The 16,573-nt window shown below is 39.7% G+C and overlaps 1 protein-coding gene across 7 annotated transcripts in view, besides 1 other annotated feature; it reads left to right on the top strand.

The window, feature by feature from the left end:
- The window catches only part of ARL15 (ARF like GTPase 15), a 426,632-nt gene extending 421,484 nt beyond the window's left edge, over positions 1 to 5,148 (top strand). For all 7 annotated transcript variants that reach the window (NM_019087.3, XM_011543500.3, XM_017009598.2 and 4 more), the window contains one exon: positions 2,377 to 5,148. In NM_019087.3, the coding sequence (NP_061960.1) occupies positions 2,377 to 2,529 (153 nt within the window). In that variant the 3' untranslated portion in view covers positions 2,530 to 5,148. The remainder of the gene's footprint in view (positions 1 to 2,376) is intronic.
- Positions 5,689 to 6,888: an enhancer, noted in NCBI's record as "CDK7 strongly-dependent group 2 enhancer chr5:53178032-53179231 (GRCh37/hg19 assembly coordinates)". NCBI's record gives its function as "activates an origin of replication core promoter dependent on BRD2, BRD4, P300/CBP, MED14 and CDK7 cofactors, with strong dependence on CDK7, by STARR-seq in HCT116 cells {active_cell/tissue: HCT116}" and the evidence as "EXISTENCE:reporter gene assay evidence [ECO:0000049][PMID:35650434]".

Raw genomic sequence — 16,573 nt, 5'->3', positions numbered from 1 at the left:
TAGCAATACTTAAAATGCTGTCCTTTTGGATTTGGGTTTATAATATGTATCAGGGACACAACTTCCTTTATGTACTAGATTTTGGATGTTGCATACTTCATCTGATGGGAAGCATTATTGATCAAATACTAGATTGCATTGTAAGCACAGTGGTCCCAATTTCTGAGCTCAGTGATACAACCTGAAGCCTTACTTTGTGGCAGAAGCAACAAGACCAACATCTCTGATTTTCAGCTCTTTGGAGCAGCCCCCACCTCCTTCTAAGGGTGGACTTAGCCAGGATTCCCTACCAGTCCCTCCTCCCTACTCTTTTTTCCCCTATTGGCCAATGGTCCCCTACTCAGCTAACTGGCAGTTCTTCCCTCTGCGGAGTTGGGTTGGTCCCTGATACTGGTCTTTGCACCAGGAATTTCAGATTGTCTTGGATGTCAATAGTTTTCAGTGCCATAAAGAAAACAAGCTAAAAGAATGGAGTTTGTGTTTTCAGTAAGCAAGAATCCTCTTAAAGCTGGGCATGGTAGCTCACGCCTGTAATCCCAACACTTTTGGAGGCTGAGGTGGCAGAAGCCCCTGAGCTTAGGAGTTCAAGACCACCCTAGGCAACATGGTTAGACCCCACCTCTACAGAAGATTTTTTAAAAATTAGCCAGTTGTTGTGGCGTGCACCTATGGTCCCAGCTACTGAGGAGGCTAAGGTGGGAGGATCGCCCAAGCCTGGGACGTCAAGGCTGCAGTGAGCTGTGTTCCTACCATTGCACTCCAGCCTGGGTGACAGATTGAGACCCTATCTAATCTAAAAAAATAAAAATAAAAAAATAAATAAATAAAACAAAAAAAGAAAAACAACAACAACAAAGAATCCTCTTAACATGATTTATAAAACACCTTGGGCAAAAAATTGTTCTGAAGTTGTATATCCATTTTCTGATCTGCAAGTGAGGTGTTCATTACTCTTCAGAATCAGAATTAATGAGGATCTTGTAATTCTCACAGGTTTTTTTTTTAAATTAGTGTTTATTATGAACTTTCAGACATTGATAAGGAGACTTTTTGGACATACTTGGACTATAAAATGTTAGTATATTTCTGGTTCCTAAATTAGCATAATAGCTTAGTATTTCTTATATATAGATATATATGTCTTCTGGCTTATATGAAAAAATGTACAAACATATTAATACCAATTTGGATAGCATATCTCTACTGTCAACAAACAGTAGTCTGCACTGGTACTGGCAAAATAAAACCGTATTTGAGCATGGCATTTAAAGTGGAGATACTTTTTTTTCTAGGTCAAGTATTGACTAAGGTAAGACTGTAATTTTTCATGACACATGAGATTTAACGAAATTTGTTAACCAAGAACATCTTTGAGCAATGTCTCTTTTGATGTTGCTACTAACTGTATTTGATGTTATGTAAAACTTTGTTGGGCAATAAATATAATGTTCTACTTTTGTATGATACAGTGTGTATGAGTCGGGAGCTTCCTGAACTTTGTGTTTTATGATACCTTTTGAGAGAAGATCATCAATACTTCTAGAAGCCATAATAATTTGCTATTTATTCACAGCCAGGAATTGGTAATACTAAATGCCGTTAGTCAGTATGCTGGCCAATATAGTAAGAGTGACTTGTGACTGGTTATTAATTGAACAGGTTTTTCAGCACATACCTATTATAAGTTCTTGCTTTTTCCATCCTAGAAAATTCAGGACTGAAAAAGAAAAAAAAAGGTAGAAGATTTTACGCATATATGTAAATTTATGTAAGTGTGTATATGCATACAAACATACATACATGCAGTTTCTATCCTCTTTCCTAGAAAACACGCTCTCATGTCTCAGAAGCAGATACTAGAAATTTGAGAGAGAAAGAGAAGAAGATTATTTAAATTAGATTTTTGTTGTGTTATGTGCTTGATGGTCAAAATAATTGAGTCTTGAGTAATCAATATAGTACCTACTGTAAGTCGTCACCCATTTAATAAGTTGGCAAGGTGAGATAGTGAAAGCTACTCTGCTAATTATTTTGATGAAATCGAATCTTTTGGTGTCTGCAATGTATCTTGACTGGTGCCATAGTGCAAATAATTTTTTCTCTGACTTCATCAGACCTCCCACGCTGCTAAATGTATGGGTGGAATGGTGGCTTGCACGCAGATCATTCACCTCTAAAGAAAACACTCCCAGGTCACAATATATAACCCACATTATAACAACAGCTGCGGACAGGCATCCACATTGCAAAGTTGTAGGCATCACAGTTCGTATAAATTCCGCCTCGAAATTCCCCTACTTTATCCCTCAGAATTTTGATATGAGAAAGTTTCTGATATAATTAATAACCTATTTATCTTTATTTTTTCCTCTTAAGATCAAAAAATATTTTGAACTTGAACCACTTGCACGTGGAAAACGCTGGATTCTACAGCCCTGCTCACTGGATGACATGGATGCACTGAAAGACAGCTTCTCTCAGCTGATTAATTTGTTAGAAGAAAAAGACCATGAAGCTGTAAGAATGTGAAATCTGGCAAAGAAAACAGGCTCCCAAAAGGCCTTGAACCTATCATGTTAGTTTCTCATTTTAATTTTATTTTGGTATCAAGACTATATTGGCTTCAGTATCTATTTTCCTCTGGTCATTTCAGACTCTCATCTCTCTATTAAAGTGAATATTCTGTAGATCAGATGAATTATCATCGGCATTAACGTCAAGTACACACTACTGAGAGAGAATTTATTCTCTGTTTACCACTAATTATCTTCCCCGCATGTCTCTTCCTTCTGTTGTTCTAAGCATCTCTTCTATACTCTGTGCTGAAACGGATGGAATTCATGGCTTATGGAAATCAAATCCCTTTTGAAGGACTCAGAAAGACTCACAAGACCTTGATCATTTTCTCTGGGTTTGGGAGTGGAGTATTATGTGACTGGGACTCCACAAAATATTTATATTATTTTCAAGACCTATTGGGGGTTTTGTTTTATTTTATCTAATTTTTTTTTTTTTTTGGTATACTGAGCTTATAGACTATGAGAGAAAAGTGAGCACCAAAAACTTCATTAATCACCTTATCAGGAAGGAATATCCTGCCATAGTAAAATTGGCTCTGAAGAGCTTAGAGGCAAGTTACACAATGTTTTCTTGATTACATCTGAAGTCTCTTCTCTTTTAAGAGCAAAGACATTGTTTCAGTTTCTGAGAGTGGTTAGAGGAAATTTAGGTACAATGCATGCATCACAGACTGTATTTGATTGATTCGAGTCTTCAAATATTGTTTAATGGAATGATGAGCCTGCATAAAGTGAAGCTGCAATGTAACATAGGTATCTTTTTCTAAAAACTTCAAGTGTTTGATTAAAATAGAGAAAATAATTTTTAAAATAATAGATAAAAATTTTAAAAACAGCCAGAAAAAGTATAATTTATACTGGTTAGGGTTTAAGATGGCATGGATTTGACAAAGATAACAAAGACAGAATCATCTATATATTCATTCATTACGTGTTACTGTAGTTTATTGGAATCTGTTAATGCCTTCCTCTAGTAGTTAAAGGTTTATCAGTATTTCTATTATAAACCTCTATTTTCAGGGGTTTCAATGTGCCCTTAAAATTGTGCTGGGGCTGCAGCAAATAAATAATATTGGGACTCATATTCAGTCTTTGGAACTAGTTTTTTTTCCATTTAATTTAAATGACAAAATTGCATAGGGATAAATGTACAGTTTTACTAAGGTTTAGCACCTTTGATCTTTTCTAAATCAGGAAAAAAATCTATGCATATTGAGGTTCACAGATGAAATATTCTTTGGCATACTTTGTAGACTTTGACCACTTAAAATACTAAGTGGCCAAATGATAAAAAAAACTGCTCCCTGCACATGAGTGTAAAAACATGTTTGTAATTTTAAGTAAAATGGACTGATACCCAAATACCACAGACTCACACTATATTACAGAATGATGTAATACCTGGTAATTCTCCAGAAGATAGACTTCAGACCCTTAATGCCATTTAAATGTAGTTTTTGTGGTTTAATCTTATGAGTAGATTGTAATGAAATCATTACCTTTGAAACATCAAACACTTCTTTAAGCTTTTTTTTTTTAATGTCATGAATCAGGAAGGATACATAGTGATTCGTATACAATTTTGTCTGCAGCATTCTTGAATATTTTTAACACTGTGTAATCCCTGAGCAGCACAAAACTTTTATTCCGATGACCAGTTACACAATTCCTGTTTTTATTTTGTCCTGTTGTGCTCATCTTCTATGAAAAATAAATGATTATTAGGCCTTGCTTTCCCTGCAAGTTCATTAAATGTAGAATGTTGTCTTTTTAAGACACCGTGGCTGAGTGCTCCTAAGCCATCTGTTAAATGACTTCCCGTGGTCTGCGTGTGTGTGTTCATGTGTGCGCCAGTGATGGGCCTCTCCTCAAACCCACGACTGTCTGCAGCGTCTCAGCCGTCAGAATGAAAACATTATCAATCAGTACCCAACAACAGCTGTTTTTGACAAGTTTCTGTCTGACGCCTAATGCTTTACAACTGTCAATAAGGCTCCCTCTTTGTCTAGCAGGTCGGAGCTCGCTGTCTTGCTGCTTCCGCGCGGCATCCTGTCCTTGTAACCCTAGAATTTGCCATGTTTTGGAAATCCACGTGGGGGCGGGGTGGGGCCTGAACGGGTGGGGATGGGTGGGTGGGTGGTGGGGTGGGTGGGATGGCTGGGGGTGGGAGTGTAAGTCCCTTTTCCTACTTTCATGTAAAGTGCCACAGGTGTCTTGGTTTGCATATTCAAATATTATATAGGAAAAACAGTCTGTTATGTATTTCTTCACCTAGCTTCTTGTAATATTTATGGACGTTTCCAGTTTTTGTACCTTCTTAGCTAAAGCAGTTGCCTTTTTGTAATGGCAATTAATTTATATGATAAAACTTTGTATCCACTGTAGTTGACAGTATTGGTTGCTAATTAACTGCCATATTGCCCTGTCTTTCTATTAAAAAAATACTGTACCTGTACTTAGAGGCTAACAGATTCATGTGGACATTTACCAGGCAAGACCAACTTGTATTGTCCATGATTTCTACGATTTCCACTATCTTCAAATGAAAAATAAACGCTGAGTAGAACTGGTGTTTTCAGACTAACTCCTTTCAACTTTAGCATTTGGGAGTCCCAGATTTCTGTTTACGTTTGTGTCGCCTGTTTGTCTCCAAAATAAGTTCTGCTGCTCTTGGGTCAAAACAAATGATTAATTCGCATTTCCTTTGAAGCCATTGTGAAAACCTTAAAAGAAAAAAAAAAAAAAAAAAAGCAAGTATCTTTTCCAGTTGGTTTGTCTTCAGCAGCAATTTACTCTTATTGAAGCTGTTCCTTCGGAGTGTGTGAACAGACTCAAGATATTATTATAAAGCATCATCCTTCAATCAAAGGATTATTTTATAATATGTGCTGTGAAATTAACTTGAGTGGCAAAGTTTGGTGCAATGAGTTATTTCATTCAATGGTGATTGATGCTGTTAAGTAATATTTTTAAGTGACTCGAGGAAATACTGTGCATTTACAGATCCATCCTTAAGGATGCAGGTCTAAAAAAAGAGTAAGAAAGAAAAATCAAGTGGTAGATAGATAGAAGAAGAGAGAAAAAGAAAAAAAATACGTAATTGAAGATGAAAAATTTAAATCCCAGCTTTTGCTTGGTCCCAAATGCAACGTTATCATCACTTAGTATTTGACTACACAGAGAGCTTGCAACGTTTCACTTCTAAGCTGGGAATCTAACCTTCATTCCTAGGTTTATTTCTAGTGTAGGCAATTAGCAGTTATCAACTTCCTAAGCATCTCAGTCCTATCCAAGTAAATGTGAACAGAACTGTAAGATTTTGAAGCAAATGGGGTTTTCTTCATGTCCATATTGCATATTCAGACTTGAATGGAAATCTAATATTCGTGCCTGGCTTCATCCTCTTTATAACTTTAGAGTGCATTTTCATTAACCTCCTGACCTAATGGCGCAAACAGAAATGAAAAGGTATGTAGGGTGGTGGGGCTGGAAGTGGGAGTTGCCCTTTGGGATCCCTCATTTTCAATGCATTTGGAAGGGAGGGTCTGTGTTTGTTATGCAGAAACTTTAGAATGTAGAGTCCCTGTCTTGTTCCCCAGCCTGGGTCCTGGAGATCTGAAGTTCATGCTGTAAAATGCATTACCACATCATGTTGGGAATTCCTGGCTCCCAAGGGCTCACAGCATTTGGTCACCAGTGAATCAGCATGTTTAAATTATGTGCATCTCAGGGTTAAATGTTTTTCAACTCAGATGCATGAAGTGACTGATGAGCCCAAGGTTTGGCACCCTACCCCACACCCCCTTGTACTAATTTAGGAACATGAAAAGGATCCCTTAGAAGCCTCAGATGGGATGTCAGTTTCTCCTCCCCTTTCCTATTCTCTTTGAATTAAAGCTTTAAATGACAAACTTTTCTTCCACCCACTGTCTCATCAGATCTGGAAATTCTGACTTCCCTTCCTGGGGTTTCATCTGTTTGTAACAACTTCTCCATAATGTGACTTACTGTGAAACCAAGCAAAGAAGTTAAAAGTCACAAAGAAGAATCTCTCCAATACGCCCTGTCTAGCATCTTCCTTTCCTTATGAAACAAAGAGAAATTCAAAGCCCATGATTTCTCTATCAGATTTTTCTCTATAATCTCATCTCACATGCCATCTCTGCTCTGCAAAGCATATTGTATTCACTGGCTCCTGGTTTAGAAAGGCCAACTACAGGGTTCTTAGGCTTAGCCTGCCCCTTCCCTTTCTTGCTGTACTTCTCAAGTCCTGACTGCACACAGGAATTTCCACAGGGCATTCTAGATGAATAATCACTTTCTACAAGGGAATAGTGTGGGCCTGGTGGCTTTCAAAGAAACTTCACTTACCATATATGCCTTGTAAGTCACTTGTACCCTGTTGGGAGAATAAAGAAAGTGGTTTCTAGATGTAATGCCTTGCTAGGCTCAGCCAGGTTTATAATCCAGTCCAACTCCTTATCCCCACTGCTCCAGCTAGACATAGACCAACGTGGGTACAGCCATTCCACCACACTTTTAAAAAACGATCTTCTGCTAACTACTAGATAATGGTGAATTCCCTTTTTCCTTCCTTCTTTTTCAAAAATCTCTTCCTTTTATCTGATGATCTCAAAGAATCCTACATAAATGTTTCAGCCTAGTTTTCTTCTAGCAGCAACATTTCAACCATGGAGGTGAGTTGGCAATGTAGTCCCCAGAGATGCTAACCTGGCTCAGGCCCAAGGGAACAAATCAAAATGAGGCTTGAATAAGCACCAGGTTCCCCAGACTCTCTCATTTTCCTGTTTCTTCATGGAATATAGGGAGGCGGAGGGAGCTGGTTATTTCAAAAAGCCTAAGATCACTTCCATCACAGGCAAACCCCTCCTGAAAGTGTGAAATCCAGCCTACAATGGACTTTCACCGACAAGTGATTCATTGAGACAAAGGCTAGAGTTCCAGCATCAAACAGATGTCAGACAAAGCACCAAACGCCTATAAATGATTGCTTTGCAAGCAAGGGAATGACTGGAAGACCTGGCCTAATGATGTACCCCATGTCTGGACAAGCTTACAGAAGATGGTGGTGGAGGGAGCTGGTTTTTTTTTTTTTTTGAGACGGAGTCTCGCTCTGTCGCCCAGGCTGGAGTGCAGTGGCGGGATCTCGGCTCACTGCAAGCTCCGCCTCCCGGGTTCACGCCATTCTCCTGCCTCAGCCTCCCAAGTAGCTGGGACTACAGGCGCCCGCCACTACGCCCGGCTAATTTTTTGTATTTTTAGTAGAGACGGGGTTTCACCGTTTTAGCCGGGATGGTCTCGATCTCCTGACCTCGTGATCCGCCCGCCTCGGCCTCCCAAAGTGCTGGGATTACAGGCGTGAGCCACCGCGCCCGGCCGGGAGCTGGTTTTAAACAGAGTCTGTGAAGAAAGCTGTTTCTGGAGAGAGAAGTAAGACCACAATTCTTACCTGAGAGGTTCATGTTGAAATGAATGATTTCTGGCCAGTTTGCGTATAATCTGTGTAAAGGTAAATCAGAAAAATGTGTGTCCAGGGCACCTTGAAGGCCAGAGTGATGTGGTATGATATTAAATCATTAGACATATAAATATTAAAAATGAGAAGATTTTGTTAGAATGGAAACGGCTCACCAAAAGGCAGAGACAAGAATGCAAACAGTAAGTCTAGCTGTCATTCTCTGTAATCTGGAGCAAGTCAGGTTTGTCTCTGGACCTTCTCCAGTTGTTTTACAACTTTCTAGACATGCAGTGTATCAACCCAACACTTTTATTAAGCAGCTTTGACAGGGTTTTTGAGATGACAGCTAGTCGAGATTCAACTTAGCATTGTACAGTTTTATTTCACAATTGGAACTTTCGGTTTTAATACTTTTAGGACTTTATTCATTAATGCAACACTTTTTGTTGAACACCTACTATGTACCAGGGATTGATATAGCTGTAAATATGACATACTTAGTCTCTGTCTTTGTAGTACTTTAATTCCTGTAACACTTGTTAAATTGGATTATTTTTATGACCGTAGAGAATTAGAGGGGGTGAGGGATTTTATTATATTAAAATTGCAATTTCAGTCTCTAGATTTTAAAAAATTTGTTCTTGGTCCTAATTTCTGTTTTTTAGCCCTCCTAATTTAGAATTGTTTTTGGGTGCTGTTTAGCTTCTGCGACCATTAATAAAACTAAAAATCTAACCATAGTGAAGTTTTTGCCTTTTCTTAAGCATCTTTGTAAATAGAACCTTGTAAAGCTAGCACCTTTTATTCTGCTATTTTGCTGCTACAACAATGAAGCATGTGTCTAGCACACAAAGGTGCTTCCAAAGTGCAAAATCAAACTCTTGTCAATTACCTACTGTTCTTTTCATCCTCTCTGTATTCAAAGGGCTTTGCCTCCTCTAGAACAGCCTTGTCTCATCCTGCCTGTTGATCAAACAAATGACTTATATTTGAAATGTTGAATGTTTAATCTCCAAGAGGAAAATTCTTATTCAGCAGCAGTCTCTTGTGTTTTATTCCACCTAACAGTTAAAGCGGCTGCATGTCTGCCACGATTCACATGCCCAGACAGAGGCAGTAACCTGTAAGCATATAACCTGCTGGGTTTTTTTGTTGTTACTGTTTGACCTAGGAAGGTAGCAGTGAGTTTTAACTGGGTTTCAAGAGGCTGCTTTGATTTTCTGTCATTGAGGACTGGGAACTTGGAAAGACCCCTTTACGCCCATGATTTATTCCAAAATGGTACTTGGGCAAAGTCGTTCCTTTAGCAGGAGTTAACACATTTTGGATTTAGAACATTTTTACAAAATCTATACCAACACTGTTCGCATTTCCTTGAACACCTAAAGGCCATATTGTTCCTGCTCACCAGTGTTAAGCCCCATGCTAGATGTGACCCTTAGAGAGCCATGACACATCCCTTATGCTGTTTACTGGCCCAGATGTTCAGGTCAGATCACAAAAATTAACTGAAATAGAAACCTCTCTATTTCCATTCCATTTGTTAATTTCAAATCACCCAATTTTTTTTTTTTTTTTTTTTTTTTTGAGACAGAGTCTGGCTCTGTCTCCCAAGCTGGAGGGCAGTGGCCCGATCTCGGCTCACCGCAAGCTCCCGGGTTCAAGCAATTCTCTTGCCTCAGCCTCCCGAGTAGCTGGGACTCCAGGCGTCTGCCTCCCCGTCTGGCTAATTTTTGTATTTTTAGTAGAGACAGGGCTTCACCATATTGGCCAGGCTGGTCTCGAACTCCTGACCTTGTGATCCGCCTGCCTCGGCCTCCCAAAGTGCTGGGATTACAGGCGTGAGCCACCACACCCAACCAGAGTCACCCAAATTTTTTATTTTTTATTTGTATTTATTTTTTTGAGACGGAGTCTCACTTTGTCCCCCAGGCTGGAGTGCAGTGGTGCAATTTCGGCTCACTGCAAGCTCCACCTCCCAGGTTCATGCCATTCTCCTGCCTCAGCCTTCCAGAGTACAGGTGCCCGCCACCGCGCCCGGCTAATTTTTTTTTTTTTTTGTATTTTTAGTAGAAATGGGGTTTCACCGTGTTAGCCACGATGGTATCGATCTCCTGACCTCGTGATCTGCCGCCTCGGCCTCCCAAAGTGCTGGGATTACAGGCATGAGTCACCGCGCCTGGCCCAAATTTTTTATTTTTTAATTTATGAATTTATTTTTTAGAGAAAATGTCTTATGTTCCCCCAGGCTCGCCTCTAACTCCTAGGCTCTAGCAATTCTCCCCTGATTCAGCCTCCAGACCAAATTTTTAAGTAAAACAGTAGGATCCAACGAAGTCATATAATATCAGCGATTAATCAAAATGTGTGGTTCGTAATTGGGTGTCTGCTCCTAATGAAATAAGGGGCAGTGGTCATCAGTGTCTGCTAATGTCACAGAAGCAACCAGGCATAGTTACATGCTTCCAGATAGAAGTGTGAAATACCACCGAGGAAGTATTCGTACCAAAAAATTGAACCTGAATCTGATCAACCCTCTGGATCTAACAATTTGTAGAATATACAGAAACAGAGGAATAGGTTAAATGACACATGGTGACACAATAATCAAAATCCAGACTATTGGAAATTTAAACAAATGAGCTGGTTTACTAAATGGCAAGGTGGAAAAAAGAAATAGAGGGAGGAAATCTGTAGATTAAAAGAGTATGAAGAGCTCCATCAACCAATTACAGAGTATGGGGCTTATTTGGATTCTGTTTCAAACTAGCAAAATGTAAAAGAATACAATTTGAGACAGTTGGAGAAATGTAAGCACTTGTTGAATATTTTATGAATTAAGGAATCCTTGATTACTAAGCTCTTTTAGGCGTGATAATGAAATTGTGGTTGTGTATTTTTTAAAGGAGTCCTTATTTATTAGGGGCACATACTGAGATCTTTATGGATGAAATATTATGATGCTCAAGATTTACTTCGAAATAATCTATTAGGTGAAGAGAGAAATAGAAGTAGGTGGGGATTAGATGAAATAAGATTGTTTGTGAGTGACAGCTGTTGAAGCCAAATCATGGTGAAGGGGGATAGTGATACTTTGTTTTCTGTCTCTAAATGTGTAATTGACATTCCCCCACCCCCTTTTATGCCTCTGAATATGTAATTGACATTTTCCCCAAAAAGTTTTAAAAGAAAGAAAGAAAAGAGAAAATGAAGAGAGTAAAAAGACAAGCCACAGAATAGAAGATATTTTCAACACAAACCCAAGACTGTTACCAGAATATTTATTCAGAGCTCCTCTAAATCGCTAAGAAAAAAAAAAAATCCATGGAAAAATTAGCAAGCAACTTGAACAGGCACTTCACAAAGGAAGAGGATATCCAATTGGTCAGTAAGTTTATTAGTAGTGAGGTGCAAATAAAAACTACCATGATCTGGCACTGCACACTCACCAGAATAGCTAGTTAAAGATAACACCAAGAAAAAGAAAATAAGAGGGAAAAAAAAGAAATGTGTCCATCTGGCATGTTAATCACCACTGAAAATTTGTGTCCTGACTCCAAGAAGGAGGTTTGTAGCATGGTGACTAATCCCACAGTGTTTGGAGTCACCCAGAATTGGCTTAGAGTTTGGCTGGACTCCTTGCTAGTTACGTGACACTGGACAAATCATTTAAATGTTTGTGTTTCAGTTCTCTCGTCCACAGTGGAGATAACATGCCTTCTTCACAGGCTTATCATGAGGATTAAATAAAATCATGCACATAAAGTGCTTCTTAAGGTGTCTGGCACACAGGAAACATTCAATAAATGGTGACGATGATGATTCCAGTAATGTCTGTTTGAAGGAATCTTTGCATTTCCGAGGTAGAAAGCTCTGCAAGAGCTGAGGTGGGTTGGGAGGTGCAAATGGTGAGGTTTTACAACCAATTGAATTTATATAATGGCTACAGCAACATTAGTCTTGGAAACCCAGTCTCACTGGTCATGGAGCTTTTGTAGATCAAGTAAATACACCTCGTTCCAGTGGCCTCAGAACTTCCATTTTTCATCATCCAATTGCCCACACATTGATTTATTCATTCAACAAACACTGATTGAATGTATATTATGTGCAAGGCATTGAGCTATATGTATTAAAGAAAGGTAAAACCAAATACATTTAATCTGATATAGTGCTCAGGACTAAATATTTGCTATTTAAACATGTTTATTTCTTCAGAGGTCATTGGTTCTTTCTAGTACTTTCTGTGTCATCATTCACTTATAAGTCACAGAAGAGCAATGATTATGTCTCTTTGTTGCCTTTTAAAATCTACAGCACTTAATAACAGAAAATTTCATGAATATTTGTAACTAGCTAACCACCTCAAGTTGAAAACAAGGGTTCCAAGTCATACATTTTTTAAAAATAGGGCTGGGATTACAAAAAGGTGAGCTTTACCATCAATGATTATAAAAGAGATTCATGTTCATTATGGAAAATACAAAGGAGAAAATAGAAAATAACTAATCCTAGAAAGAATCACATTAACATTGTGATGCATATCCTTTTAATTTTTTTATATACTTTTATAAAATGGGAGTCATACTATGTATATTATTTTGGAACATGCTTTTTTTTTTTTTTTGAGACGGAGTCTCGCTCTGTCGCCCAGGCTGGAGGGCAGTGGCACCATCTTGGCTCATTGCAAGCTCACCTCCCAGGTTCACGCCATTCTCCTGCCTCAGCCTCCCGAGTAGCTGGGACTACAGGTGCCTGCCACCACGCCCGGCCAATTTTTTCCATTTTTTAATAGAGACAGGGTTTCACCGTGTTAGCCAGGATGGTCTCGATCGCGTGATCTGATGATCCACCCACCTTGGCCTCCAAAAGTGCTGGGATTACAGGCATGAGCCACCGCGCCTGGCCGTGGAACATGCTTTTTATTTACTAACATATTAGAAGCATTTTCCATGCTGTTGAATTTTTTCCTAAAACATGATTTTTAATGGCTGCCTAGCACTGAGCAATACCATTATTGCAATGGTTCCATATTGTTGGGTATTTGGATTTCTGTTTTAAATGTCTTTGTATAAGAATATTTGTGCACATTCCTTGATGCTTTTTGTAGAATGGATACTTACAAGTGGAGTTCCAGGGTCAAAAATTGTAAACACTTTGAAAGCTTTTAAAACATAATTCTCAGATTGCCCTCCTTAGCTGTAACAATTCATAATTCCTACCAGTGATTAGAGGCTGGTTCCTATTTATTACCTGTGACTTTGGGCTATGGAATTATTTTAATCTATCCTGATTTAAAAGGTGAAAGTGAAATCTTGTTTTAGTTTGCTTTTCTGATAACCTACATTCTAGCTAGACTTTACACAAACAAAATAGCTTTGGTCATCATTTTCTGGGGAAGTGGGAGAACTGAACAATATTTAATTCTTTTTTTTTTTTTGAGACGGAGTCTCGCACTGTCGCCTGGGGCTGGAGTGCAGTGGCACGATCTTGGCTCACTGCAACCTCCGCCTCCCAGGTTCAAGCGATTCTCCTTGCCTCAGCCTCCTAAGCAGCTGGGATTACGGGCACCCGCCACCAAGCCTGGCTATTTTTTTTTTTGTATTTTTAGTAGAGATAGGGTTTCACTACATTGGCCAGACTGGTCTCAAACTCCTGACCTCGTGATCCGCGTGCCTCAGCCTCCCAAAATGCTGGGATTACAGGTATGAGCCACTGCACACAGTCAACAATATTTAATTCTGTGCACTAAATTGTTTAACTCAAACACTTCCCTCCCACCTTTACATGATGTTGACCACAGGATAGATATGCAATATATGTTATATATGTTTTTGTAGAGTGGAAAGACACAAATAAACACCATGTACTTGTGATTAATCCAATGTAGAAAATAAGTGTGAAAGGAGGGGAAGAAAGGAAAAAGAGTAGAGGCACAAAAGAGGCAAAGATCATACATAGTAGTCCCTTGCCCAAAAGGAGAGAATGAAAACACAAAGGGGAAGGTAGGCTGAAGTCAAATTGTGGAAAGCCTTGAATGCCAGGATGAGGAAGTGGGATGAAATGTAGTGGGCAGTGGAGACCCACTGAATGCTTTAAAGAAGAGCAGCATAATCAAAACATTTACTTAGGGAAAGTAGCCTGGGCAGAGGGTGGGTTGAAAGGAGAAGCTCTAGGGTGGTCACAGGTAACAGGGAGGCAAGGAAATGTGTTAATATGAGAGGTGTAGCAGGAGAACATTTGTCAAAGGGAACAACAAAACTACTAAGGCCAAACTGAGGAGCTGAGGTAATGAAGAAAGAACATGAAAACCAGCCTCCTTGCCCTTGTTACCAACCCATTGCTTCACAGCCCCTTGGTCCTGAACAACAAACACAGGCTTGGATGCCTCCGGAGGTGACTGGGTGAACCACATGATATTGGCAGATGAGCAAAGGTTCTGCAGGGTGCTATTCCCACCCACTCATGGAAGAGTTCCAGAGGTCAAGGAGCCCTACAAACTGCCCAGAAAGTGCTTTGTTGAACACACTCTAGTTGCCTCAGATAATGGGATTTAATTATAAGCCAACAAATAAAACCACCAACAAATAAAGTGGGCAGGTATCCATTTCTGAGGCTGCATAACTGGGCTGTTGGGCTAACAGGAACTGCATATTTCAAGAGGCAGCAGGACTTTATATCATCCAACAACAGCTAGATGACAAAAACTTCTCTACTAGTCATTATCCCATTCAGGTGCAGCTTCACAGGTGTGCAACCTAGTGCAGGGGTCCCCAACCCCAGGGCCACAGACTCGCCTGTAAGGAACCAGGCCTCACAGCAGGAGGTGGGCAGCAGGAGACCATTACCCATGAGCTCCATTTGCTGTCAGATCAGCAGTGGCATTAGATTATCACAGGAGCGTGAACCCTATTGTGAACTGTGCATGCTAGGATCTAGGTTGCATGCTCTTTATGAGAATCTAATGCCTGATGATCTGAGGTACAACAGTTTCACCCTGAAACCATCATCCCTCACCCCTCTCTCCCACTGTCCATGGAAAAATTGTCTTCCACGAAACAAGTCCCTGATGTTAATAAGGTTGGGGCCCACTGATCTAATGCATTCACACAATGTCCTGTGTTCAGAAGGGCCATGTGCTTGGCTTAATGCTCTGCTGTCACCATCTTGGAATTCTTAATAACTTTATTATAGCACTTGTGTTGTATTATAAGTAAAGTCCATGGGACAATGGAGCCTTCATGCAAATAGAGAAGATATTGCAATACGCATGTTCTTGTCTGCCTGTTCATCTACAGCATTTTCGATGTCCCCTGGGCACAGGATTTCGGTGGATGGGCCCGTGATGGACAAGAGTTCAGCAAGGCTCAAAACAGTACAAAGTAGTTGTGTTGAGTCTATGACCAGAAAGAGAGGACACTGGCATACCTCAGAGGCCATGCTTTCCAACTGAACCCGAACTTGTTTCAAATGCAGAAAGAAGGCAATGGCATTCTAAGAAACACCAACAAGCAAGGAAGCCTATCATATCCCTTCTAATCTGTTTAACTTCCCTGTTTTAACCAACCTCTTACACTGAAAATAATGCCATGGAAGGAAGGGGAAGACAGGACAACCCCTAGTTCCTGTTCTTTTCTTCCTTCCTGTCAGTAGCCAAAAGTAGAGTGTTGGTGTAATATACATGTATCAAGAAGTCAAATAAAAACAGATGAGGCTGGGCACAGTGGCCCACGTGTGTAACCTCAGCATTTTGAGAGGCCGAGGTGGGTGGATCACTTGAGGTCAGGAGTTCAAGACCAGCCTGGCCAACATGGTGAAACCTAGTCCCTACTGAAAATACCAAAATTAGCCAGGCATGGTGGCAGGCACCTGTAATCCCAGCTACTCGGGAAGCTGAGGCACGAGAATTGCTTGAACCTCGGAGGCAAAGTTGTAGTGAGCCGAGATTGTGCCTCTGCACTCCAGCCTGGGCGATAGAGCGCGACTGTCTCAAAAAAAAAAAACCAAAAAACAAAAAACAGATAAGTTAGTTTTGTGCAAAATACAAATGTATGTATGAGCTATAAAATCTCAATTGTGCAATTTCAATGATTCTGCATATGAGTTACAACTACAACTGGCATTTAAAACTGACATTACACAGTGAAAAGATGAATGGTAACATTTATGCTAATAATTTTAGTGTGTCATTTTTCTTGATTTAGAATGACATTGACTAGCAAATAGAAATTACCGTGACTAGGCAAGATCAAAACCTTGGAAGAAAAGAAAAAGCTTTATATCAATGTCACTTTTTCCCAGTTTTTTGAACAAGGAGTCCCACATTTCCATTTTGCACTGGTCTCTGCAAATTATGTAGCCAGCCCTGTCTTCAATACACATATGAGCCTGAAACAAACTAACTGGGTTTGAATTTCAGCATTGAAATTACTTGCCGACCTTGAGCAAATTGTTAACCTTGTCAAGGCTCAGTTTCTTCATCTGTAAAATGAGAATATTAGCAATTTTTTTAAAC

The sequence above is a fragment of the Homo sapiens genome, chromosome 5, assembly GCF_000001405.40.
Source record: "Homo sapiens chromosome 5, GRCh38.p14 Primary Assembly".
Lineage (NCBI taxonomy): Eukaryota > Metazoa > Chordata > Mammalia > Primates > Hominidae > Homo > Homo sapiens.
The sequence above is the reverse complement of the archived record's forward strand: the minus strand, read 5'-3'. Positions and strand labels throughout refer to the sequence as shown.